Here is a 27,604-nt window from a genome sequence, read left to right as displayed (position 1 = left end):
ATGGTGACCCTGAGGCCAGACAGTACATGATTTTTTTTATATCATTCACAATGAAGAGGTAGGAAGTCAAAGCCAACAGATTATTGTTCAGAAAATAGTTTCAGTGCTAAGTAAGAGACAAACTTTAAAGGTTCTGAGTAATAACTCTAGTATCAGTAGCCTCTTTTATATAGGACAATCCACAACACAACAAACCTTACATCCCTGTAAGAATAAAAACTCTTTGTTGCTGAAGACATTTCTAGAGAAATGTTCACTCTGAACAAATTGCTTCCAACCAAACAGAAAGGAAAAATCCAAATCCAATCAGACGAATATATTTTCTCATCTCGAAATGATTTTGTGAGTATGGAAATCTTTGCTTTTCCCATTGCATATTTTTGCTGACATTTGCTGTGATGAAGCTAAGGAGGTAGGGGGTTAAGATCTTTTTCCTGCCTTATTGTTTACCTTTCAGTCTGAGATTATGTGGATCTTCAGTTCACCTAAATCAAAACTCATGCTGCTTACTACGAGCTGTGTGCTTTGCCTCCTGCTGATCTCTCTAGCTTTTGTTGGTTTATTTGTTTTTGCCCACCCTTTTGCTCCCTCTCTCTGTTGCAAAGACACCTTCCTCCTGAGAGTAATCACACCAAGGTTTTTCTCATTCAGGCCCTTTGTATTTAGTTCCCTCTACCAGGGATGCTCTTTCCCCAACTCTTCATATGTCCAGCTGGTTCTCATCTTCCTGGTCTCAGCTCAGGTCTTACCTCCTTAAATAACAGACCTTCCTCACTCAGCCTACCTAACATATTGTCTTCAACTAGTTCCTCCATCATGCTCCCTACTGATTTCCTTTAAAGTGCATTTCTCAAGCTATAATCTTTTTTTTTCTGCTTTTTTTTCTATTTGTTTATTATCATTCACCCATTCTAACATAGGCTCCATGAGCGTCCACCTTTCTAGTCTTCTTAATGTCTGCCCCTCAGAGCTTAGGACAATCTTTCATGCAGAGAAAATGATAACTAGATTCTGGTAAGCCTATGTAAAGCCTATGTGCATCCCAACTTACAGCCAAATATTGTGCCAATTAGGCACAGGTACATACAGCACACATCCTCACTTTTCTTTTCTTTATGTTTGTTAGCACTCTAACTTTCCCAGTGAAAAGAATAGCAAAACAAAAGTGGAAAAAACCTATGATAACAGGATTCACAAAAATTGTTGCTTAGACACCTCAAAGGAGTTTAATGTCCTTCAGTGCTTTAGATCTTTCTCTTTTAGGGGGCATTCACTACAAGAAAAGAAAAATAAAAGAAAATGCTTTGTCCTTCAGCTGTGCCACCATGAATTTGAATTGGGGAGAATAAGCGTGTTCATTTCCCCTCAATTTCTTCCACAGAGTTTAAAGTCAGACTCAGATCCAAATCCTTTCAAATCCAAGCTGCTTTTTCATCACAGGTAATTATAAACATTTCAGAGCAAGGTGAAATCCTTTAAACTCTATCAGATTTCTAAAATAAATAAAAAGCTATCTGTTTTGCCTAAACTGGCTCAAATCAAATAGAAACCATCTTCATTTTTTATGGATTTATTATTTGCAAATTTGCCTACTCTCTAAAATTTATTTGTAACCTCAAAATCAATACTTGCAGCACTTTTGCAGTCATTCATGGACATTTGCAGAGCAGTGAAAAATTGTTACCCAGCTCACATCTCCAGCTGAGATCAAACAAGGCAACACTCTGCCTTCTTGTGTCAGCTTTCATACTGTAAACAAGTGTCCTTTTGGGAATCTATTTAATTTCCATTTTTATTTTGCATCTTTGCACTTTTTGTTAGTAATTTCACTGTTTAAAGTGGTTCCCAAGCATAGATAGGAATTGCTGTCTAGCATTTTAAAGCACAAGAAGGCTGTGATGTGCTTTACTGAGAAAATATGTATGTTAGATTAGCTCCCTTCAGGCTTGAATTATAGTACTGTTGGCCATGTATTCAGTGTTAATGGATCAAAATATATTAAGAAAGATGTCTGTAAACAATATATATGAAATAAGATGTTTGTAAACATAAACAATGTTATGTATTGATCAGTTGATGAAAATGTTGTAATGAGAGGCTCACAGGAACCTAATTCAATTTCCCCTAGGAGCAATGGTTCAGTATTTGCTAATTCAGTGTTAGAGAATAATTTTTAGAACATAACTACTGTAAATAATGAAAATCAACTATAGATTCTTTTCAGGGGAAAAGTGGTAAACTTTTCTGAATGGTTATATGAGATTTGTAATCTTATCAGTACCTCTATCATCAGAAAGCATAAAATCAATCTGCCTCAATTTCATCAAAAAATATTACTTGGTGAACTGTACTTTCTCTCAACCATAAACATATTATTCACATGGTTATTGCTTCAGTGTGCTTTTATTTTCCGAGGCAACAAATCATCTCCATTATCAACAAGGTAACAGCTAAGAAAAAGTTGACAATAAACAATAAAATCCTGAAATCGCCAGGGCTCTGTTTCTTATATCAATTACTTAATAGTTTTTTTCCACTGAATATCTATCTGTTCATTACTAGTGTATTGCTAAAACATAGGTGAAGCCTTAACCTGACTGCCTTTTTAGAGAAGAAATTCTAGATATGAAGGTTATCATGATCTTCACATTTAAAATTCAAAACCATATGCTGAAGATAAAATATCAAAAAGATACAAAACATTCAACTATGCTGCCAACACAAGACTCTACCAAAAGAGTAAGATAGCAAAGATAAAATTGTGAATATAAGGTTTTACAGACTCTTGTAAAGAGAAAAGAAAAGCAACTTATAATTAAATACGAGAGAGGACTACAAAGATGAAATAAGATTGGTAATGTGGAACACACAAACCAAATGACTTATTATTTATGCCATTGCCTAAGTTGTTCTGCTCATCTCTTTCCCTTATTCTAATGCTCAGTGTTACTTTTTGTATCGTTTTCATCAACACTTAGAAACATGTTTCTTTTCTTCCAATGATGCTCTATGGTTTTCAAAATTCCATGAAAGCTGTATTTTCTAATAGCCATACAATGAGGAAGAGGGGATAAAGCAAATATGAGGGTAAGCATTATTTAGATAGAACCACTCAAGGCAATCTCAGAAGTGGATAGATGTTCTACACAGCCAAACAGATGAACGCTATCTAATCTATTTTAACTGCATTATATTAGTAAAAATGTTTAAAGCTACAATATCAGAAAAAAAGGATGTATGATCTTTTTTGTCTATGTTACACTAAATACAAGAAGGGCAAAATCAACTAAACAGATATCTAGAAAGAACTAAAAGAAATGGAGAGAGGCAAGTCCTCTACGTATTCATCCCTGAGAATTTTTCAGGTCTTCATGGGGGAATCTGTTTTCAAATTGAGTCCTAAATAGGATGGACTTTAAAAGTTCCCATTTAGATACATCACTGTGAATTTTTAGGTAGGACTAATGATAAAATCCTGAAAGCTGCCAAAAAGCAAATAATAAATGCACAAAAAACAAGAATTAGGCGTCTCAAACAACATCTGATGATAGAAAATAAGGCGGTCATTCCTTCCAAGTTCTAAGGAAATGTAATTTTCATCCTAGAAATCTGTATCCATCAAAGCCTTCAATCACATATGAGAGGAGAATTAAAACCATTGCAAACATGCAAATACTCAGATAATTTACCACCAAAATACCCGTTCTTAGAACTGGATTAAGAAAATGTGGCACATATACACCTTGGAATACTATGCAGCCATAAAAAATGATGAGTTCATGTCCTTTGTAGGGACATGGATGAAATTGGAAATCATCATTCTCAGTAAACTATCGCAAGAACAAAAAACCAAACACCGCATATTCTCACTCATAGGTGGGAACTGAACAATGAGATCACATGGACACAGGAAGGGGAACATCACACTCTGGGGACTGTTGTGGGGTGGGGGGAGAGGGGAGGGATAGCATTGGGAGATATACCTAATGCTAGATGACGAGTTAGTGGGTGCGGCGCACCAGCATGGCACATGTATACATATGTAACTAACCTGCACAATGTGCACATGTACCCTAAAATGTAAAGTATAAAAATAAAAGAAAAAAAAAAAGAAAGTAACTTAAGGAGGTGCTCTAGAGAAAATCAGAATAAGAAAAAAGAAATTAAAATCGACGGGTTCAGACAACAAGCCTCAAATCAAAAGAACAAAGAGAAGGTCCCAGTTGACGGGCAGTGCAATAAGATTAGAGAACATTGATTTCAAATTGCAGGAAGACAGAAAACTCCAGTGGGGTGCTGCCCAGGCATAAAGTGGAGAAAGAGATACATTAGGAAGGAAAGGAAATAAATAAAATGTAAGATAAAGTTCACAGTGCAAGAAAAACAAAAAAATGAGAAACTCCAAGATATTTCAAAAATTTTTGTGGAAAAAATGTAATTTAAACCTAGATTAATTGCTCCAAATTAGAACATAATTGATATTGAAGAAAAATTTAATGTATTCTGAGGAATAGAAATACTCAGTAAGATGAAAAATATTACGGATATCATGAAGGCATTTATGCCTTTTCCCAACATGGAAAAAGCTATCAATGAGGGATTTCATTAAAATATTATGCACACACACCCATGCATATACATGCATGCATGCACACTTATATGTGCGTGTGTATATGATTTATTATTTTAAAACTTGTTTTAAATAATCTATTGTAAGTAATAAAGAAAATGTATTTAAAGCATATGAAGAAATAAGTCAAGAAATAATTACATGGTCAACCACAAAAGGACAGTGCTATCTCAATATGTCAGTTGTTCAGGAGGATCAAGAGAAGCCAATCTAGTTTGCACAAGGAAGATGAATAAAGTCTCTTGAAAGACTAGAATACATGAATTAGATATACGATAGTAAGAACTTAAAAATATTTTAAAACCACATAATGTATAATAACATTTGGAAATTTCAAGTATACAGGAAAAATATATAAAAATGGAAAATCTAATCATAGCATGGTACTTGGCTCTGCATTGAATAATAGTCACCTAGCTATATATAGATGTGTAAACAATACTTATTGATTTTTCCATTTTTAAAGTAAATGACATCAAAAATACATGTATATATACATGTATTTACATATAAATACAAAGTAGAATATAGATGTTCTGAATCTTGACTCACGAATGTCATCAATTCATAAAGTAAGAAGTTGAAAGACAATCTTTCTAATTGTCAAAATAAGAAATATAGTTTCAAGTATATTATTAGAAATTATAATGAAAATAGAGCAATATAAAATTAACAACAGAATTATGTTATTAATATAGAATTAACCACTAGAAGAATTGGCAGAGGCAAGTTCTTTTCCATTCTGTCTTCCTCTGTTAGTGGAAATTTTAAACATTTGCAGATATATCAGAGGGAAGCACATTCCAAAAATAAACAAAAATTGCACATCTTTGAAACAGTACCTTTTAAAAAGTCATATACAAAATTGAAAGAAAAAAATAAACCATGGAAAAGAATTAAATACGTTTTGATTAGCAAAGGAGTGTCATATATTATAGGCATTATTAATATTCACCAATACACAGTTCTATTCTGGACATAAGGAGGATTAGTCTCCAACCCCTTGAAGTTGGGTATTTCATGGGAATAGTTCTAATCAATGACATCCAAGCTGATGTGGCATGGTTCTTGCCTCGGCAGAAGCATTAAATTGCTAGATGTGCAACTCTCTAGTCCCATCTTCCTCTGTCATAGTCATCTTGAATAAACAACTCATACAATTCAATAGGAAAAAGTACCGCAATGACAATAAAAATTGGGCAAAAGACTTTAATAAACTGTTTATGAAAGAAGAAACATAAGTGTGCAATAATAAATATGAAAAACTATTTTATATAACAAAAAATATTTTTAGGTATCAAATAGGTAAGAATTTTAAAAATTGTAACAATGATGCACAGGGTATGAAAGACTAGACTTTTCATAGACTATTGATGGGATTATAGTCTGGATTGGATTTCCTTAGCATATATCAGAAATTGATTTACTTAACTAAACGCTTCATGGCCTTTAATCCAGTAATTATACTTCAGTCATCAGAAATGGTGAAAAATACATATGCAAAAGAAATTTCATTTGCAGCAGTGTTTTGTAATGGATAAAAGAAGAATTTTTAAAAACTTGCAAAAATGGAAAAGAAATGATTGGTGTGAATATTATGAAGCTATGAAGTTTACAAATGGCTTTAATGCAGTTCTGCTCATGTAGATTTATTTCTTTCAAAAAGGCAAATTTTCTTCTATCAAAGATACATTAAAATATAAGCAGATGAGTAGAGTCTTGCAGATTAAACAAAAGATATTGCTTTAAATTATACTGAAAGTTAAAATCTTTCCACTTTAATGCTCATGGAAAGCCAATGGGTCTTCAAGGTCTTTGCTCATCTTTTGCCCCTATCAATAAGCCCACATTAAGTTCATAGTTCTACAAAATAAAGTGGTTAAAGATTTATAAATTTCCCTGACGGTTGGCCAAAAATACACAGTTTATGACATGCACCATAAGGCAGGCTGAAAGTATATCTTGACGCAAGTAACTTTCTAGAATTTTATTTAGTATTCCAGTTTAAATCAAATTTATGTTATAAATAGCTTGATATTTGGCTTTAGGTAGAGCACATAACTGATTCTTAAGACAAACCGGGGATGAAACTAAATACAGTGTTAGTTAATGAAGCCATAGTAACTGAGTTCCTTCACCTTTCTTTATTGCATATAGATTGCGGTCTTTAGTTTTAACATTCTATTTGTGAACACATATGGATTGTTACACTGAATTAACTTCAAAGTGATATTCAAGAACCAAGACATAATCGTAACCCATTACTTAAATCTTGATATAGGTTAAGAAATATGCAAAACGAGTAGTCCATTTAAGTGATATTACTGCTATGACACAAGCCAAAAAAACATAATAACATCCTTTATTTATCCCTCTGGGCTCCGTTAATGTTCAAAATCTGACATCCTCTTTTATTGATCTGAGACCCCAGAAACACAAAAGCACAATTTATGATAACAACACTGCTCAGGAAACAAATGCCTTGCATGACTTTACATCTCTTTGCTTGTAATACAGTTTTAATTTTCTTTATTTCACACTCTGGGTAAATTCCCTATTTGTTTGTAACTCCTTGAGGAATTATTTACTTAAGAAAAAAATCTGGGCCAAGTGCAGTGGCTCACACCTATAGTCCCAGAACTTTGGAAGGCCAAGATGGAAGGATTGCTTGAGGCCAGGAGTTTGAGACTAGCCCGGTCCACACAGTCAGACTATTTTTAAAAATTAACCAGGCAGTGGCATGTGCCTGTAGTCCCAGCTACTCAGGAGGCTGAAGCAGAAGAATAACCTGAGCTCAGGAGTTTGCGGTTACAGTGAGCCATGATCATGCCACTGCACTCCAGCCTGGGTGGATGACAGAATGAGACTTTCAAAATTAAAAAAAAAAAAAAAAACTTATACATTTCAAATCAATGAAGTAAAAATTCATGTTTATATACGTTGTGACAATTGGCTAACCTTACGAAGGAAAAATAAAACGGGATTCTGTAGGTTTTGTTAATCACATAAAGCCAGATGATTCAATGATTTATCTGGAAACATAATACCAAAATATGATGGTATTAAAGCACAGGCAGTTTTTTAAAAAAAATAAACTACGGTGGGAAATGTTTTTCTGAGCAAGGCACAAAATTCCTGAGGAAATTAAGCAAACAATTTCTAAATTTTACTAAATAAAATTTAAGAATATGTGTATTCATAAAAATCATGAACTGAAATTGTCATTCCAAAAAGCGATAAACAGGTTAAAAAGACACAAAGCTGGGTAAAACAGCTGAAACACATCACAAGTGTGCTACTTTAATGTATGTATCAAATAATAATAAGTAGACTCACCCATAAATAGACCAACAACCCAAAAGAAAATCGGGCAAAGGAATGAACAGGTGTGTTTATGCACACACACATACATAGAAATACAAATAACGTCTTACCATAGTAAATGTAAACAATAAGATACCAAGAGCAAAGCTTTAAAAAATTTAACCTTGTGATATTAGGCAGAAACAGACATACTCATACACTCTAGGTAGGGTTGTAAATTGATATGCCTTTTTTGTATATCCAGCAAAGTTTTAAATGCAAACACTTTTTGACTACAAGTTATTCCACTCATAGCAAACTATTCTACAAACCCACTTGGACATATTATTAAAAGAAACAGCAAAAATGAAAACAATCATCAACAAAAAGGCCACATAACAACAGAATACCATGCAATAACTAGAAAAAAAGAAGAGGAAAATCTCTGCACATAAAAGCAGAACTCCGATTTATGTTAAGAAGAAAACAATCAAGATAAAGAACAGTGTATATTATGCTACCATTTCTGGAAACCATCAATGGTGATTATCTCAGAGACATAGAAATGAGGTGAAAGAAGACAATATTTATTATATCCCCGTGTGTAGTGTTTTTTTTAAATTACCATATGCATGATTATTTTCATCACAATTTTTAAGCTTCAAAATATAAAGACCACAAGAAGCTAAATTAAAATTTTCTGCATGTTTTACATTCTAAATCATCCATAGTACCAAAATGCTATTGTAAGCAAATATTTTAATTCTATTAGATAATTTTTGTTACATGTTAAAGCTGCATCAACTTTTTTCAGATAATCATGATTTTCTACCTGAAATTCTCAAACCCCTATAATAACCAAGGTTTAAATTATATAAAATCTGTTTTAACAAGAGACACTAGCAAGGTGTTAGTGTCTCTTAGATTATTCAAAATAGGTATATGCATTGACATTTTAAAGTATTTTGTAAAACTTACTATTTAAAACCTGCAACTAGCTTCTTCAGTAACAACCTAAAATAGTATTTATTATAATTAATTAGTTAATCCCCATAATTTATGTAAACATCACCCAGCAATTTATGTAGTCTATGCCAGTTTAAACTGATTTGAAGAGATTGTGGCAATGAAAGAAAAAAATCATATGCAAAATAAAATATAAATTTTCATCTCCAAATATGATGCGAAAAATTGAAACTTTTTAACAGATCTGCAATTGGCATTATTAGTTTGTTAACAGCAGTAGTACTCATTTGGCTACCCAAGTTTTCAGCAATATATTCTAAATCAGTATTTAAGATGATGGCTTTTCACCTTCCATTGAGAATCTTTTTTATGTTTTCTTTACAATTTTTTGAATTACCATTTCTGCTTTTAAGATAATTTAAAATCTAGGCCCAACGTATAGGATAATATTTATAAATGATCTAGAAATAATGTCTATTACCGAGACTAATGTAATCATAAAATCATCTAGCTAACCTACATTAACAACTTCTACTTTTGCCACAAAGAAAAGATTTTGAACCCATAAAAAATGTTCAATACAGAAGCCTTATCTTGTTCTTTGTCACCTCAGACAATAACAGATTGGTACAGAGCAGGTATCTACTAAAAGTTTAAGAAAGGAAGAAAAGAAAGAAGAAAATCTTGTGATAGGTTTTTGGTGCATACAAACAAGGTAGATAAAAGCACTTTAAAGATAAGTATATAGCTTTTATCCAGTGTATTCTACTTCCAGCCCAAATCCAAAGTCATGGATATAACTGTTGTGTAAATATACAGATTTGCTTTAAAAGAGTAATTTTGACCAAAGGTCTTATGATCCTACATTGAAGAGTTCATATGGCTGCTGTTACTGCAATATAAGGCAACATAAGAAGAATAAGAGTCAATTCAGAATAAGGTAGTGAATATTTCATGAACTACACAAAGTTCATATGTAGGAAGTCCTTATTTTTACTCATTGTCAGTAAGTAAAAATCTTCCCCCAACCACCCCGCACAACTGCACATCTCTCTGCTCCCTAAGAGAAATAATCTCTGACCAAGTAATTATTTGAAAATGTTTCAAACCTTCCAGACCTTTCAGCAGACTAGAAACAGGCAAAAGAGCCTCCTTATACTGTGCTGGGGAATAAACTTGTGAAAAAGATGATAGTGACCTAGACAACCAGCAGCAAGATGCATAAAACTGATCCTCACGGAAGAAGTCACAATGAACCTGTTCCAAGTTTAATAAGGTCCTATTCGTGAGAAACACCTACCATCATTTTTATTGCACAAATGTATCAGTGGTGGAATTGGTAACTGAATAGTATCAGATATTCACACTAAATGTTAACCATCATCTACATTTTTTAAATTATGCATGATTTAGTTCTTGTTATTTATCCATTGAATTTGGTGGGGGGAGGGTTTGTGGATCAAGAACACATCAAAATTCTTGTAAAATGTACATGTTCACTAGTATTCTAAAAATGATAATAAAGTAAAATCCTAGCCTCTATTTTCAGCTTGAATGGTTGTATTATATTAAAGAAGTTTATTATTTTGAAAATTACATAGAGAAAACTATTAGCTACCTTCCCTTCCATGCACCTATAAGCACGGAGCTAAGTATATCTGACCAATATATACTCAGGGGAATTGGAATCACTGAAATTAGCAGTATTAATCACTATATTATATGCAGCAGTTACTATCATTTAAACCTGATAATTACATCATGAGGCAGGCATTATAATGAACCCCATTTTACAGAGGAGAAAACAAGACTAGAAAGTTTAGCTGATTAATACAAAGTCATAGAACTAGTAAATAGTGAAGCCATAATTTTAATTCATGTCTGTTTATTCAAATATACTAGCTATGTTGCCAACTGAGACCAATAGAGGCTCTGGTTTAGGAAGTAGCCAACTTGTTTTGTAGCCAAAAGCTTCTCCACAAATTTATAGCAGCTAAGAACAAATCACATAAATTTCTGTTTTGTTTTCTGTAAATGGGTATAATAACAATTCCACTTATGCTACCGAGCTTTACAGAGCGACAGTGAGGATCAACCAGATATGGAAGTGTTTCAGAAAGAAAAAAATTATACATAAAGCTATAAAATATCTAAGCTTTCTCAAGGCAGCACCTTCCTCCATTGCTTTGAGCATGGGGTTTAGGTTTTATATCAGTAAAGGGCTGATATAAAGGGAGGAAATAAATACTGGGAACGTTTCTGACAAATTAATCTAAGCATTTATTTTCTCATATAATGCCTCCAATAATATTATCAGATATGACAAGGAAACTGAGCCTTATTCTACAAAGAGAAAAAAACACATGCTGTATCACAAAGTTACTAATTACATTCAAACCTATTTTTGCCTAATTCCAAAGCCTATGTTGCTTGGCTGATTTTCATTTAAATAAATTTAATTTAATTAATTACATAAAATAAAACATTAGGAATCCATAATGTGCTCAGTTCCATTAAATATTGAGATATCTTAAATATGTGCTTGAAATATCTGCTAAAAATATGAGAGTTTGAAATTGTTCAACATCCTAAGATGTAAGTGACATGCAATAAAGGGGAAGATTGAATTCAAAGTACTACTCGAGTAACACCTCAGGTTTTAAAAATCATTCTCGTCCTATAGTGCACCAAATATATCTTTCAGTGACTTATGTGATTTATTTTGTTAGTCTCTTCTTTGTCACCGAAAGGCATTATGTCCTGCCCAGGTATACAAACAGTAGGAAAAGATTCCAGCAAGAAAGTTAGAACTGCATTTTTCTTTGTCTTCTGCCTCTAATAGCAAGTGCTCATCAAAACAATCCAAAAATTCTAATACAGGAAATAATAATAAAATATTGCTAATTTTATGTACTTGTGCCAAACACAGCTCATAGTGTTTTATGACTAATGCGTATCTTGCAAACAATCCTATAATGTCTGTTTCCCTTTTACAGAGGTAGAAACTGAGATGTAGACTAAGAAACTTGTCCAATGTCATACATCTAGTACAAGGACTAGAATTTGGTTCTAAGTGCAGATGCTTAACCCATGCTATTCTGTATCCCAAGACACCAAGGCTACAAACTACAACGAATCAATTTTTTTTAATCTTCGCAGATGAAAAACTTGTGTATTCATCATTAAGATGACAACCCTGAACTTGTGTGTGCTCTGAAATATAAAGATGAGGATTTTATGGTCCTTCCCTCCAAAGAATAAACTATATACAGCGCTTCCTTGTATCCCTTTCTGAATTGTTGCCTGTGTTCTCAAAATTTCCTTTCTGTATGTAAATTAGTAATAATAGCATAAACTAGTAAAAACTAAAAACCTGGTAAAAAATATAAAAGTAAAATGATAAATGATGAAAGTGCTTGAAAATTATAAAGCCAAAATTCTCCCATTTCATGCACAGATTAAAAGCAAGATAGAAATTCTTCAATTTCTCACAAACAGCAGATAACACACGAATAAAGATGAAAATCATGACATGATTTGAAATGTACTTCTCAAGAAAACCTAGCAAAGCACACACACCCTTATAGAGAGCTCCACTTCCAGATCTTTCTCTGCCAGACTTGCAATGATGAGAGATGCTTCACTCCCATGCTGTAGAAATGTGGGAGCTATTTCTGTGCTACCTGGATCAGTGAACACAGGCAGCCCCTTAAATATATGGAATTCATAATAGCTAACATAAAGCCCTAAAGGAATATGTTTTCAATTTTCCAAGTTAGCATCACTAAAGTGTGTATGACAATATTTTCAAATATATAGACCAAACTAATTATTGCATATGTTATGGTCCTTATTTTTCAGAATAAAACTACTCACTGTGTTCCGTATTTTAGTCTTAAATTGTCCTTTGAATAACTTTTGAATAGTTAGCCTCAATGACAAAATATTACATATCATTTGAGAATTATTATTAAATATTCTTCCAAGACATACTAATACTTTTTAAACACATGTAGAATTGTGAAAAATAATTTAAATCCAAAATGTTTTTATTTTTAAAACACTAAAAATATTTTAATTTTTTTAAAAAATATCTTCAACTTAGGTGTTAAGGAAATAGAAATATAATACCAGTATAATATAAAACAAGAGACAAACTTTTCTCTGTTCTACTAAGATGAGCCCCGTCAGCAATTATCAAGAATTGCTACATTTCAGTTACCTCAAGCAACAGACAACTTTACTATGACACATTCCATGCTCCCTATAAAATGCAGTCTAGTCGTACATTCCATATTGTATATTTTTACCTATAAAATTTTTCAAACCTTTTCAGTCAGTATTTTACCTCATAATTTTCAAGGATGGCTTTTTTGCCAGCCCAGAATAATAAAGCACCTTAAATTTGTGTTTTTTCCTCAGAGAAATGCATATTGTTAGCCGAGGATGGTTGCTCATGCCTGTAATCTCAGTGCTTTGGGAGGCCAAGGTGACAGGATCGCTTAAGGCCAGGAGTTCAAGAGCAGCCTGATCAACATGGTGATAACCCGTCTGCAAAAATAAAAAATAAAATTGCGACCAGGCATGGTGGCTCACGTCTGTAATCCCAGCACTTTGGGAGGCCGAGGTGGGCGGATTGCCTGAGATCAGGAGTTCGTGACCGGCCTAGGCAACACGGTGAAACCCCATCTCTACTAAAATACAAAAAATTAGCCAGGCGTGGCGGTGTGCACCTGTAGTCCCAGCTACTGGGGAGGCTGACGCAGGAAAACTGCTTGAACCCAGAGGCGGAGGTTGCAGTGGGCCGAGACTGCAACACCACACTCTATCCTGGGTGACAGAGCGAGACTCCATCTCAGAAAAATGAAAAATAAAAATAAAAAATAAAATAAAATTAGCTCAGCGTGATGGCATGGACCTGTAGTCCCAGCTACTTGGGAGGCTGAGGCAGGAGAATTGCTTGAGCCCAAGAGCTCAAGACTGAAGCGAGCTGTGATAGCTCTACTGCACTCCAGCCTGGGGAACAGAGCGAGACCCTTTCGCTAAGAAATAAAATAAAATAAAATAAAAGGAAAAAAAATCAAAACCAAATGCATAGTGCCTCCTTTCTTTCATGTCTCCCTCTAGAAATAATAACTAGCTTCCATTATTTGACAAAATTAAAATTATTATAAGAATTCACTGTTCTATAGTAGCTCAAGGTTAATATAGAAGATTGACCACAGACATGCAAACTAAGCAAACATCAAATGAAAGAGATGCTTAAACAAAAAAAAGGAAGAAAGGAAGCAGAAAGGGATGGATGGAGGGAAGGAAGAAGGAAGGAAGGAAGGAAAGAAGGAAGGAAGGAAGGAAAGAAGGAAGGAAGGAAGGAAAGAAGGAAGGAAGAAAGGAAGGAAAGAAGGAAGGAAGGAAGGAATGAATTAATTTCGAGTTGCAAATTCTTACAGCCCTGCCAAGTACACCAAGTTATGCTGCCTCTTAGAGTTTTTCCCTTTTTCTCCACAGCTTTCCCGCCATCACTTTTAAGAAATATAGTAATTTCAATCTACAATAAGGAAAAAAATATTTTCCCTTACCTTGAAACTATTTGTTTGAACATGCCCACTCTATCCTTTTATTCATGCACAATAAATAATATATATAAAAAAATTGTTGACATATTCTTACTGCAATATCTTGAATACTGATGCTAGAGAAATTGTAAAATGAATGCTAAATCTGAAACAGAACGGTATTTTGATACAGAGAATTTTAGCTGCAAAGGGTTTATGAGCTGAGGAAACTTTTCTTATATCAAGTTATTTAACTTGAGTTTCCATTAAATTTATGCTGAAGTTAGACATTATTAATTTAGGTCATATTCTATTCTTGTAGGGATAAAGAATCAGGTAATATTCTACTATGCTTTAACAAGCATAGAATATACTTAGTTTATATAAACACATTTCAGTCATTTCTATCAGTAAGTTGGGTACTTAGGAAGATTAGACTAAAAATATTTACATTGCAGGAGTACCTTCTCAGGTTCACTGAAATTCATCAGCGTGAAAGTATTAGAGGACTATAACAAGTAAACATCATAGCATTTATCATGTGAAATCAATTTTACATGAAGGGAAAATAAACTTCATAGAAATAAAATACCCTATTGAAAGTATTTTAGAAGAACTAAAATTTAGGCCATTTCACAATTCAACCCAGTTTGTGTTTATATTTGAAATACTGAAACAATCAGGAAAAAATGTAAGTATTAACATAACCATAAATATATAAAATTATGAAGTAAAATTCTGAAGAAAAATCCAAATAGTAAAACTATAAACATTACATATGTCATTTGTTTGAGAAACATGGATACAAAAACGTAAGCAATCTAAGAAGATAGCTACTCACCAATTCCCTTTCTATAAGGAACCTGGTATCTCCTAAATTTATTTGTTCTATTCAGCTGAAGATACCAATAAATTTCAAGACTCTGTTGTGCTTTTTTGAGGCAAGTTTTTGCCCTGTCACCCAGGCTGGAGTAGTATCAAGCACTTTGGATGATTTTCCCAGTAATATGATAATGTGTGAAAAATTAAACATATAATAACAAGGTGTTTCACCCAAGAAAATTATCCACAGAATGAAAATAAGACAAAACAAAATCGTTAGAAAACAAACCCGAAACATAAACTGCAGGCCCTAAAAAGAAAAAATAAGGATACGCATACAAAATAATTGCACAAATTAATGCAAATAGAGCAATTGGTCCACAAAGAGAAACTATGTCCAGAAACTTCTCTTCCTAGATACCATCTAAAATGTAAAAATAATACTTTTGTGATTCTGTACATTTTTAAAATTAATTAAAGGAATTGATATAGAAAATTGTAGTATAAAATATCCTGGTTGGGGGCAGGGAGGGAGTTACTAAAACAATTCTGTGTCCATTCAAGGACACATTTTTGGAACATCTAAAACCAAAATTGAAGCTTGGCAGACCCATAACGGTCAGGGGCCTTATAAGGGCATCTCCTGTTCTACCCACTTGTAACAAGGTTCTTGCTTTTGGGTTTTTTTTTGGTGGGGGGAGGTGGGGGGGTCATTCTTTTTTCCTTCTTTTTTTTTTTTTTTTTTTTGAGATGGAATCTTGCCATCTCCAAGGCTGGAGTGCAGTGGTGCTATCTCGGCTCACTGCAACATCTCTCTCATGGGTTCAACCGATCCTACTGCCTCAGCCTCCTGAGTAGCTGGGACTACAGATGGGTGCCACCACGCCTGGCTACTTCTTGTACTTTTAGTAGAGACAAGATTTCGCCATGTTGGCCAGCCTGGTCTTGAACTCCTGACCTCAGGTGATCCACCCGCCTCGGCCACCCAAAGTGCTGGGATTACAGGCATGAGCCACTGAGCCTGGCTGCAACATGGTTTTTGCATCATCCTAACAGTTAGCATTTATAAATCCTCTTCAACATGTATATTGTACATATATTCAGCATATCATTTTAACATACATCAATATAGCTTTAGAGATAAAAATAACAACTTTGACAATATCTAGGTTGTAGATGAAAGTGAAAAATATAATACACCTCTGTCTAAATAGGATTCAAGGAAGGTACAAAGTAAATTGTGTATTCTGAAATCCATATGTATAGCAAATACAAAATTCTAACTTTAAAAATTATAATGTTATGATAAGAACATCTACTGTAAAATTAAATGTGTTGAATAGGTAAATAACTATTAAGTGAGTCGGTGCACTGGGAACTGAGCTAGACTTCGTGAAGAACACACAGTTAACAGCAGCAAGGGCCTGTCTTCAACAAGCCCACATTTTACATTCTCCTCGTTAATTTTAAAATGTTTTCATTCTATAAGTTAAAATTATCAAAGATGACAAAAAACTTTTAAATTGAATAGCACTGAAAAATAATAGGTGTTAGACATCTTATGAACAGCATTGTAAGAATCACATTCCTTTTTTTTTCCAAACTAGTAAAATCTGATTTGATAGACATTTTGATGTTTGAACATTTTCAAATCATGTGTGATTTTCTAATTTTAACATTGAATTCAGCAACTTATTTTCCTATTGTACTGAAGAGACACAGTCATACAAGAGATTTGGCAATTATGTAGATCTTTGGAGAAAACCTGAGAAATTTTTATTTAAAATTGCTATAATAATAAAAGAGCAAACACTTAATGAAATCTGGGGTATCTTCAGTACAATCTACTGTAAAAAGAAAGGAAATATAATCTACCCAGCTGCCATTAACATTTCAATCAAATATTTACATCAAATACAAGATTTTAGCTCTGAATGAATGCACTCTCTGCTCACATAAGAAAATGTTTAAAGGACAGTTCTCTATCTCAATTTAGACTTTATTTCTTGTAATAGCATTTGCTCTGCAGATTAAGTACTTCTATTGACTTTTTTATAAAAAGGGAAGAGGAGGAAGAGAGAAAAAACACATACTCTCTGAAAACTTGATTATATAGCAACATACTGAAATAACTCAAAAACAACTGCTCTTTTTCACCCTTCCTTAAAATTTTCAAGGTTCTAAGAAGTTTGAAAGTTTGCTAAGTGTTATTGGAAGAGATTATGAGAAAACTTGAGATCTGGGCATGAATCAGCATCCACTTGTCATAATGTCTCAGTACAATGTCCCTAGCACTTTAAAGGCTTGATGTGAAATGAAAATACCCCATCCTTCTTGAGCCAGCAGGTTGAAGTTTGCAAGACTTTCAAACAGAAATAGCATAGCATAAGAATAAATTTTTACTAATTTAAGCCTCTATAGTTTCATAAGGTAATTTTTATTTCAATACTTAGTTTCTCTCATCTCAAAATAGAATATTTCAACCAATGCCATTCTTTGATTTCTACTTAATACGCACTCATTTTCTTGAAATTCTTCAGTGATAAGTGAAGTATGAAATTTTAACTGAAAATACTTCAATAACAGATTAATTATTCTGACATACAAAGAGGCATTTCCTCAAAATCTGCAATTGAATATAACTGAATATTTACAACACCAGCTTTTACGGTATTGTGTCCCTGGCACATGTGTTCATGGTTTGTCATCATTGCTTAAGAAAGTCCAACTTGAGTCTAGTTTTATGAAAGTTTTGCATATATTAAAGTCAGTAACTCTAGGTGTTAGTAAATACCTCAACAAACATGACAAAACAGGATCGCGTAGCCAATCTGTAACTATTTACACTCTATAATTGTAACTATAAATACATACACACAGAAGTCCATTCATCCAAGTGCAATAAAGTCTTAGCAAACATCAATTAATTTTATGAACACAGATACAAAAATCTCAGTAATTTGTGACTAAAATTTAATAATAAATACAGCTCAAAAATGATAGCTGGGGAATCGAGATTAAAAATGTTGAAAAAATATAATTTTAGAATTCTCTCTCCTCTAAGAGCATTTACAATCTATTCTAACAGTCTTTATCTTCTAAAACATAAAATATAGGGCAACCTATTTTTAAAAGGCAATGAAAGTTATTTTTAAGACAGCATTTTGAATAATTTTCTTCAAATTAGATGTCATTTATTTTTTTCAATTTATCTAAATAAATTTCTTTACAATGTTTTAAAAGGCATTCGGTGTGCGCAACAGTTTTATGAAACAACAATATTTTCTCCAACATCTCCATCTGCTGGCTTGGAGAAAAAGTAGATTTTTATTTGCTGTTTCCTTCAATTTAATATTTTTATAATTTATTTTGTTGTATGGAATTGAAATATAAAACTATTAAATCATCTTTAACTAGACTAATAACTATTTGTAAAATTCAGTCTTCAAAAGAAATAGAAAGGGAAGGTTCTGGGGAGTAAATTCAATATTTAATACTTTTAATTTTCAAACCCTGTAGAATCAAGTACTCATGTTTATAGCCCTTTTACACAGTTTTATTTTAAGCAAGCTTTACCAATTAGCATAGCATCAAAGTTTACTAAAATCTTTTATAATGTAAAAATACTTAGTATTTTCCTAAAATTTGCTATTGATTTTCTCAGTTAACTACATACAATACGTGGTGTATATATATATTAATATGAAAGTTACTATTTTCACAAAAAGGCAGATTTTTTTAGTTGCTGTATTAAACCGCTTGTGTTTAAGAACTACTGGAATACCCTCATATCCTCATACTAAAGTTCCTAGACAAGACCACAGCTACCAATGCACACTAAAGGCATGAAGGCCTACAAGGTTTTGAAAACTATTCAAAAGAGCCTAGAGGGAAAAGGCTAGAAAAAAAAAAAAAAGTTAACATGAAAAAAAGCAGTCATTTATTCTCTGACACCTTGAAGGCACTCACTAAACATTTATTGAATGAATGATTGGATTCCTAGGACCCATCCCTGGTTTCAACTGTTCTACACATCAGATACTAATCTCAGATTTTTTTCTGCTTTTATGCTTTGTATTTTTAATAATGAAGGCTTACGTTTGAACAACCTTCAGGAAAAAAAATCTTAGTTCTCTTTTCAGCTAAGAAGACAGGGAGGGAGGAAAGGAAAAAATGAGTGAGGGGAGAGAGGAAAAGAAAAAGGGAATGATGGAGAAAAAATGAAAGAAACTGAAAATCTGTCTTACTGCCTCAGGTACCCATGGAAACAAATGGAACAAAATAGGTACTTTCATTATCCCACTGTGATTGTGAAAGGGAAGGATGTGGGAGCTCAGTAAGATGCACACAATCATTTTACCCAGTTCAGAATAGAATGACTTCATTTTCTTTGTATAACCTTAACCCATTCAGTGGATCTCCCTGGATCCTCATATCAACGTCCACTTCAACATTTCCAAATAATTTCCTCCATCTCAGGAATAAAATTAAATTAGTAAACTAATAAATTTTCCCTTTTGAAGTTGTATTACTAAGGTATAAAAATCCACTTTTTAATACGTAAATTTAGCTCTGTGGGATTTTTATGATTGGAAGAGCAAGCTATTTCAAGAGCATTGCAAGATGATACCTATCATCTAATAATGTCATTAGATAGCAAAATTCCTGAGATTTCTAGAGGAAATGGGAAAAAAGATGTTTAGATCTTAGCTGTCAATGTATTTAATGCTGTTGCTTCCACTTTATAAAGGAAAGAATCACAGACTTCCCTGAATAAAAAGGCAAGAAAACAAAGGATAGGCATTGGAGAAAAATCTTAAGCAGGATTTAAACGATCAAGACCCATGCTGACAAATTTAACACTAGAGATTTTCATCCATTTCTTGACTTTGTGATTGTAGTTTACATAAGCATCTTTCCCTTTCCCTCTCTCTCATTCTGTCTCAAAAGAGTTAAACTAATTTTACATCTTCTATTGTCCATAGCACAAAAACAAACAAACAAAAAAGGATACAAATTCTCTATTTCATTTTGCAATCTCTAAATTTTGAAATGTCTCAGAGAATAAAAAAACGGAGTCACAAACATGTTAAGCGATTTGCCCAGTCAATGAGTTAATGTCAGCCCCAGAAATTTCTATCCAATGAGCCTCTCTTCTGTCACAGTACCCCCCTAGTTCTTTTTAGCAAACAGTAAGATTACTTATAACATGGGAGTTGCAAATGTCATGCTTTTGAATTATCATGTTGTCATCTTTAAAATGTGTTCAGTTCCTGAAAATAATTTGTTTTACTATCCTACTATAATAATCCATGCAGGGGTAATTTTAGTCTCTGGAAATGTGAACATATTTATTTTAGCTTCACTTCCTGAGGAGGGGAAAAAACTGTGCAAATGAAGACTTGATTATTCCAGCTTCTCAGAACTATGGACAAATTAAATTGTGTGGTAATTTTTTAAAAGAAGTCCACATGTTGATTACATGAATGTGTTCACCCTGCAAATATATGAATTTACATATGTGTTTAATATATACACATATTCTGGCTATATATTTTATTTCAGAAAAATTTCTATTTAAAAATTCAAAAATATTGAGAATGAGTATCTAAACCTAATAACCTAATCACAGTCTTTTATCTTTATAAAGCCCCAATACAGTAGTTTAGCATTTGTTGAAATCAAGGAATATTCATTTTGTCAATGGACATATGTTATTTTTGCAGAAAGTTCTTCTCATTATTTTCACCAATGAGTGAACTTGGCAATCATTGACTGTTTTCAAAAAGTACAGCTGTCAATACTTTCACTTCACATTCAAAACCTATGTCCTTCCTATACCCACAGCCGTTCCTTAGGAGTCATTACTTTTCAAAGCATTTTCACATAAGTATACAATTACACACAGTTAGATACTCAGAACAGTTGCATGACAAACTTGTAATTCAGGAAAAATTGGAACTTACTGATATCAAATGAATAGTCTAAATCTGTTAGGTAAATAGGTCAAATATAGAAGTCTTCAAATTTTAATTAAGTTGATTTCTTTGTATGTCATGTACTAAAATTTTCTGAGATATTCTATTACGGACGTTTTTCAAAGCTGCAAATCCACTTTAATTCTCCTCTTCTCTCTTTCGTTCTGTACCCCCACACCCGCCCTTCTTTCTTTTCTTACTTGGCACCAACATTTGAAGAAAATATATAGCAGTGAAACCTTCTTAAATAGATCCATTATAAACAATTAAATCCTAAATTACCACACAATGCCCCTATTCTATCAGTCTAAGAAAATTGTTTCTTCATTCGTCCGGGTGACAGTAGTTGCAAGAGTTGATGATGGGCCCAATATGATAATCAAGCTAAATCACGGAATATATGACTAAAGCTTAAAATGGGGAGGAGGGATGGCAACCAGTTGTTTGTGTGACGTGGGAAAACTGCAGTTGGGCTTTTCCTGTGGTAATTTTCCCCAAGCTCTGTAGCCAAAGTGGGAAGTGAGCCATCCGCAGATCTCCCCCAAATTGTTATCTATGAAATAACGACTGCGAATATTAGGGCAGGAAAGAATCACCGCAGGGCAGTCGGCAGGAAATGATGGCAGCTGCTGGGAAGAGGGCAGGAAGGCACAGTGGCCGCGACTGCCTGCCCACGCCTGCGCGGGGGAGCGAGCGCGGGGACCGGAGCCCTCTGGCCTCCACACCAATCCTTTTAGATCCCTAATTGTTTGGTTTCTAGTACTTTATCTGAACCCATCACAGAGCTTCCCAGCGAGTCCCGGAGCACTGCGCGGAGTGAGAGGGTTAATATGGAGCATTGCAAAGACTAAAATGGCTGATCAGCGACTTCTCCAGATTTTCAAACTCGGCCAGATCCCACGGCTTCCCAGTCCTTTTCCCCGGCTGCCTCTGCTGGAGCCCAGCTACCTGAGAACAAAGCGCGCCGGGCTGGCAAGCTGACCGCGGCGCCCCTGGCGGCCTCGCCCCCTCCAACTTAAGCGGAAGCGCAACTGAGCAGGAGAAATTGACAGCGCTCCCCCTTTCCACCGCCTCCCCGCCCCACCCCCACGCCACCCGGCCGGCCTGAGCCTGCGTCAGCCCCGCTCCTCGCCCCTCGGGTGGGCGTTATGTAACAGCCCCGATCCCAACTCCGGAACCATTTCAACAACTTGTCCCAAAGAGGAGAACATGGAGCTCGCGAGGGCCGCAGGGTGAGCCCAGCCGGTGCTGCGGATCTAAACTGGGGGCAGCGGGCGAGAGCGGCAGCTGCTGGGGCAGGAGGCCACTGGGCTCCGGCAGTCCCTCGTGGGATTTGTCCAACAGCCCGACTGCGCGCCCTGGGGAACAACGTGTTCTCTGTGGGCAGGGTGCCAACAGGCGCTCGATGGGGAGCGAGGTGGGAGGGCTTCTCCTGAAGCACTCAAGATGAGCGAAAACCCCTTGAACCCAAGAAAGCCGCCCTCCCTGGCTCCAACCCTCACCCCGGCTCCCTAATGCGCACACTCTTGACGTCCTTTCCCTCTCTCTTCAGCCCTCTCCAGCCAGCGGGGGTCCCTGAGATTACAGCCACCTTCTCTCTACACGGTCACACGCACGCGTGTGTGCAGTCACTCACACCCACACACTGACACACAGAAACGCACACACACCACCCCAGAAACGCACACACACACTCACACTCGCTGGCCTTCCGCGTGCAGCACCCGAAAGGCATGAATATTCATTACTTACAAGCATTAGTGACTGCGAAGCTGTTTGCCACCTCCAAATTGTCGATGTGGGGTGTCAGTCTGAACTCCGAAGTGGAAAACTGAACCATCCCTACTCGAAATGCACTGTATTCTTGATCGGCGCCCCTAGGAAATAGCCCCCCTGCAAAGAACAAACAGCAAGCAAGAGAACAGTGTCAGTGCCCCGGGAGGGAAAGGAGGGGCGCGCGCTAGCGCCCAAAAATCCAAGAGTCTCTTATTCACGCGAATAGGCCGAATAAACACACCTACGGACTCGGACAGCGGGGGTGGAATATCCAAAAGCTAGCCAAGGGGTCAAGACCCAGATGAGAGTCTGAAGGCGAGGTAGGCGGCCAGAAACCTTCACCTTTCCATGTAATCACAAGCTTTGCATTCAGACCCCAAGAAAATCTGAGCAAACTGGAAAATGTCGCTAAGGCAGAATTAATAAAATTTGGGGATCCGAAATGAGAGGACCTTTTCTTCTATTGTATCAAAGGCATAGTCTTTTCCTTTTGCTTCATCCTAAGAAAAACATGTATATTCTAGGTAGTTTAAATCTGGAATGCAGTCAAGGTATGACATAAGTCTACATGACATGAATTAATTTGTACACTGTGAACAAAGATTACCACCAAATTATGCACAATTCAAAAGCATAGCACAAAGGGTACCTACCTATCTGTATGCTGTTAGAAGAGACACCAAAAATCAGTCCCCATAAAACAGGAGAAAGGAGGACAGAAATATGCATAATCTTTTGCATTTCCAAGAAAAGTAGAGCATCCACAATATACCCCTTTTTTTTTCCTTTTCCTCCTCTTCCTTCTTTGGCTGTTTTCCTCTGCAAATTAGATCCTCTGCATTTTGAGACAGCAATTTAGCACCAAGCTGCTAAAACCTGAAGTGGAGGCAGAAGAATCCCTATTTCCCAGGTCCTGCTGGTGGCTGCTGATGCCCTGCGCCCTGTCCCCGCTCCAGAAGTCCGGAGGACTGGCTGAATGCAGTTTTCAGCGGAGCTGCCGCTGTGGTCCCAGTGTCTCGGAATATTCAGCACCCTCCCATGCACTCACACACACTCACCCTCTCTCGCGCTCTCTTCTCCCTCTCTCCTCTCTCACTCACGCGCGCGCGCACACACACACACACACACACATACACACACGCACACACACAGGCAAGTCACAGAGAGGGGCAGGCAGTCCCGGGCGCGCGTGCGCGACTCGCGGCAGGAGGCGGGAGCGCGCGCCCCCTCCCCCGCACGGCGCCCGGCACCCCGCACCACCGTGGACGCGTCGCGTGCGCGGCGCTGAGAAAGCACAGCTCGGGGCCCGTAGCCGCTGTCCCTCCGCGAGACCTCGGGTCTCCGGGGCTGTCGCGCCCACCGCGCGCCTCGGCCTTTCAGCACCGAGGACAGCGCCTCGCTCCCCGCCCGGAGCTACCTTCGTGCGGCTGTTGCAGCTGCTGCGGAGATGCTCCAACCTGGACCAAATGCAGCAAAGCTGATCTCCGGCTGCTGTGTAGAAGCCGAATTGCTAATTGTTGGCGGCGAAGCGTCCTCTCACCAGGCCCTGCTGTCTTACGTTACAAATAATTTTGATTTTTATCTTCCATCTCCTGTGAAAACCCATTTAGCAATACAGAAGCCCTGTCATCCTCCTCACCTGACCCAGCCGAAAGCAAACAAGCAAGCAAAGCACCGTGGAGGAAATATTCCAAAATTGTGCACTTGGGCTTCATGGGATGTAGCCAGGATCCAGGGAGAACCCCAAGTTATATCTTTAAATGCTTAAGCCGCACAAGAGATCAAGATGGAATCTTTTAAATATTTTGCATGAAAATCCCATCTTTAGAGTATATTCCATTGGGCTGTGATGCTGACTCGCCTAGTTACAGAGCGCACGGGTCTTTCTCGCAGCTTTCACTGCAATCCCTCCCTTGTAGAGTCATGTAGACTTGGTTTCCTAGAAGCCCTTGCTTTATGCAGATTGAAAGCAAGAGACTCTGGTTTAAGGAAAGGCTATTAGAGGAAAGTGATTAGAAGATGAAGCTAGTGTAGGAATGCCACAGAGATGCAGATTCTTTCCCAGAGACTTACTTAGAAATCTGTTTCCCCATCGCGTTTTGGCCGGGGGTTTCGAAAAATCACTGCCTAAAGAAAGTAAGCCACCACGCTCTACTGAACACGCGGGCCACAGGGAAAGAAAGATGAGGTTAGATATTAAAAGTTTGAAGGGAGAGAATTGATGGCGAGATGGATGACTGGACTTCCCGTGTGAAATTTATGTTCTTCATGGTGCTTTTTCCAAGCTCATTCCTGGAAACCTGCTCTGACAATTCCCTCTGCGGACTCAGAAAAGCCCCACCAAGTTGCATGTCTTTACTGGTTTAAACAAATAAAGAAAGATTGAGAACAAGGAACTGTTTCCAGGAAGAGGGAGATTGGAGCTTACAGTACTAAAAAGAGAACTGCTAGTATTCCAAAATGCCATGAGTCTATCAGGCTGCCTTCTTGTGCTTGCAGCTTCATTGCTGACTGGATTATCTTATGCTTGCTTCTTAATCACATTGGCCTCAATTTCCCCATTTTAAAAATGATGATGAGCAAAGTGGCTTCTATGGCTCTTGGATCCTATATTGCTGTCATTTCAAATTATAACCTTTCCCTCTTTTTGATGTAGTCCTAAACCATGAAGTGAGAATAGCTGTAATCTATTATTAAGCTTATAAACTATAGACTAAAATATCTCTTAATTTTATGCCTTAGAATTTTATTAGTATGTTATAAGTACTCCACACTGTATATAAAGCAGGTCTTCTAAATAAAAATGTATTTAACCTTTAAAAAATTGAATAATAAAAATAATATATAAAATTAATTAAAATTACAATAAATCGATAAAAAATAAAAAATGAGATATAACTTACATATATTCAAAATTGCAACATAAAGAATAAATAAATCATACATATTTAATCATTATTTGTGATGTAAGGTATACAAAATGATTGGAAATTATTACCTATTTAAAATTTTTAATGTAAAAGCACTAAGAACAGAGCAAAATTTAAAATACCTCTGTAGTTATTTTTTTCTCGATTCACTTGTTTCCACAGGAAAACTTTAATTTCATAGAAAGTAACTTAGAATTAAAGAGAGCGAGGACAGAGAGAGAGGAAGCTTCAATATGAAAAAAATTTGATGTTTAAAATGTGAGTTCAGGTGAATTGAATTTTAAAAAATAAGAATGTTTTCAAACTATTTTCATCTTAACCTATTTCAAAGTCAAGGGCAGATATGAACTCAAAATTGACTGAGTTACATTCTATAAAAAACAAATGCTGTAAAAATAAGAATTTGCTGAATCATAGAGTATAGTAACTAATATGTAAGAGCTCAAGAAAAATATTACTGTCTAGTGGCCAATTACAATTTATATATAAGGTGGAAATAAAAATTTTAGCAAGCATTACTTGTAATTCAACTGCTATTCTATGTATCTATGTTCACAAGGTAGTTATGTATAGACCTTTCACATATTTGGAAACTTATTTCCTATATCAGCATAATTTTATTAATATTATCACTCATGAGACTTTTTCAAATTTCTTATAATGTTTTAATAGCATGTATGTTTCAAGCACAGAATCCTGTCAATATAAGGGTAATAAATTTAAATTGACTACAGTAAATGGTTCTTTATACAAATACATGGAAAAATACTGGAATTTATTTTGTGAATGTACACGGCTCTATTTTTTCATGTAGCAACTTCCTATTTCAAGAATATGTATTTCAAATTGATCACCAATCAATTTTGAAAACTTCAAAACTACTAGATCTACAGTTGACTAGAATAGTGTGCTACAAGAAACAGAGTTTGCTATTTTCTGCCCTCTGCTGTTCAATTTTGGCAATTATGTAAAACTTCATTGCTTCCGCTGCAAGAATTGTAAGTTACAATAAAAAATAAAAGAAATAAAAAATGTGATCCATCGTATCATTTGTTAGTTTAGTTAGGTGGTTGGTTAACAGTTTTTAAATCACTGGCAGAGCAAACTTTTAGCTGACTTTATTATCAAAATTAAGTTATAAATGTCAGTGCTGCAGTTCCTACTGAAGTAGTTTGACCAAAGTGGAGTTCACTCCCTGCCTTCCTGGGACTGTAAAAATGTAGGACATCTAAAAGACTAATATGCAATGCAGAATTTGTAAAAAATGAGTGTCCTCCTACTTTCAGCAGAAGATGGCAAAGGATAGCAGTTCTCGCAGAAGAAACCCATGTTTCAAACGTAAGATTCTATTGGCTGATACAGAGCAAAAGAAACAAAGAAGGAAACATGAGGACTGTAATTACTCAGGGCTATAAATAAAAAAGGGATGTTCACTCTGGGGAGTTTTAGTTCTTTAATTAAGATAAAGAATAATGATATGAAAATAGTTATTCAGATTAATATAGTATTTATTATACCTTTTTGTAACAAAATTTTAAATCATTAACTCAATAAGATAAAGTTTGTGACCCTACAATGCATAGCTAAAGCTAGGCTTTTGTAAGATTTTTAAAAATATATTTAAAATCAAGTTCAAAATGGAAA

At 35.5% G+C, this 27,604-nt stretch overlaps 1 protein-coding gene across 7 annotated transcripts in view; it reads right to left on the bottom strand.

Moving 5' to 3' along the window:
* Window positions 1–24,694, bottom strand: part of GRIA2 (glutamate ionotropic receptor AMPA type subunit 2) — a 145,956-nt gene extending 121,262 nt beyond the window's left edge. For 3 of the 7 annotated variants that reach the window (XR_007096394.1, NM_001083619.3, NM_000826.6), the window contains exons 1-2: window positions 23,684–24,086; window positions 23,007–23,147 (exon numbers count right to left, since the gene is read on the bottom strand). Coding sequence is in view for 6 of the 7 variants with exons in the window: in NM_001083619.3 (NP_001077088.2) it covers window positions 23,007–23,147; window positions 23,684–23,771 (229 nt within the window). In the remaining variant the exon portion in view is untranslated. The other 4 variants (XM_047450131.1, NM_001379001.3, NM_001379000.3 and 1 more) reach the window with 3 other exon arrangements.
* Between the last annotated feature and the right edge of the window lie 2,910 nt (window positions 24,695–27,604).

The sequence above is a fragment of the Homo sapiens genome, chromosome 4 (genome assembly GCF_000001405.40).
Source record: "Homo sapiens chromosome 4, GRCh38.p14 Primary Assembly".
NCBI classification, from domain to species: domain Eukaryota; kingdom Metazoa; phylum Chordata; class Mammalia; order Primates; family Hominidae; genus Homo; species Homo sapiens.
Note: the sequence above shows the minus strand (reverse complement) of the source record. Positions and strands in the feature narration are given on the sequence as shown.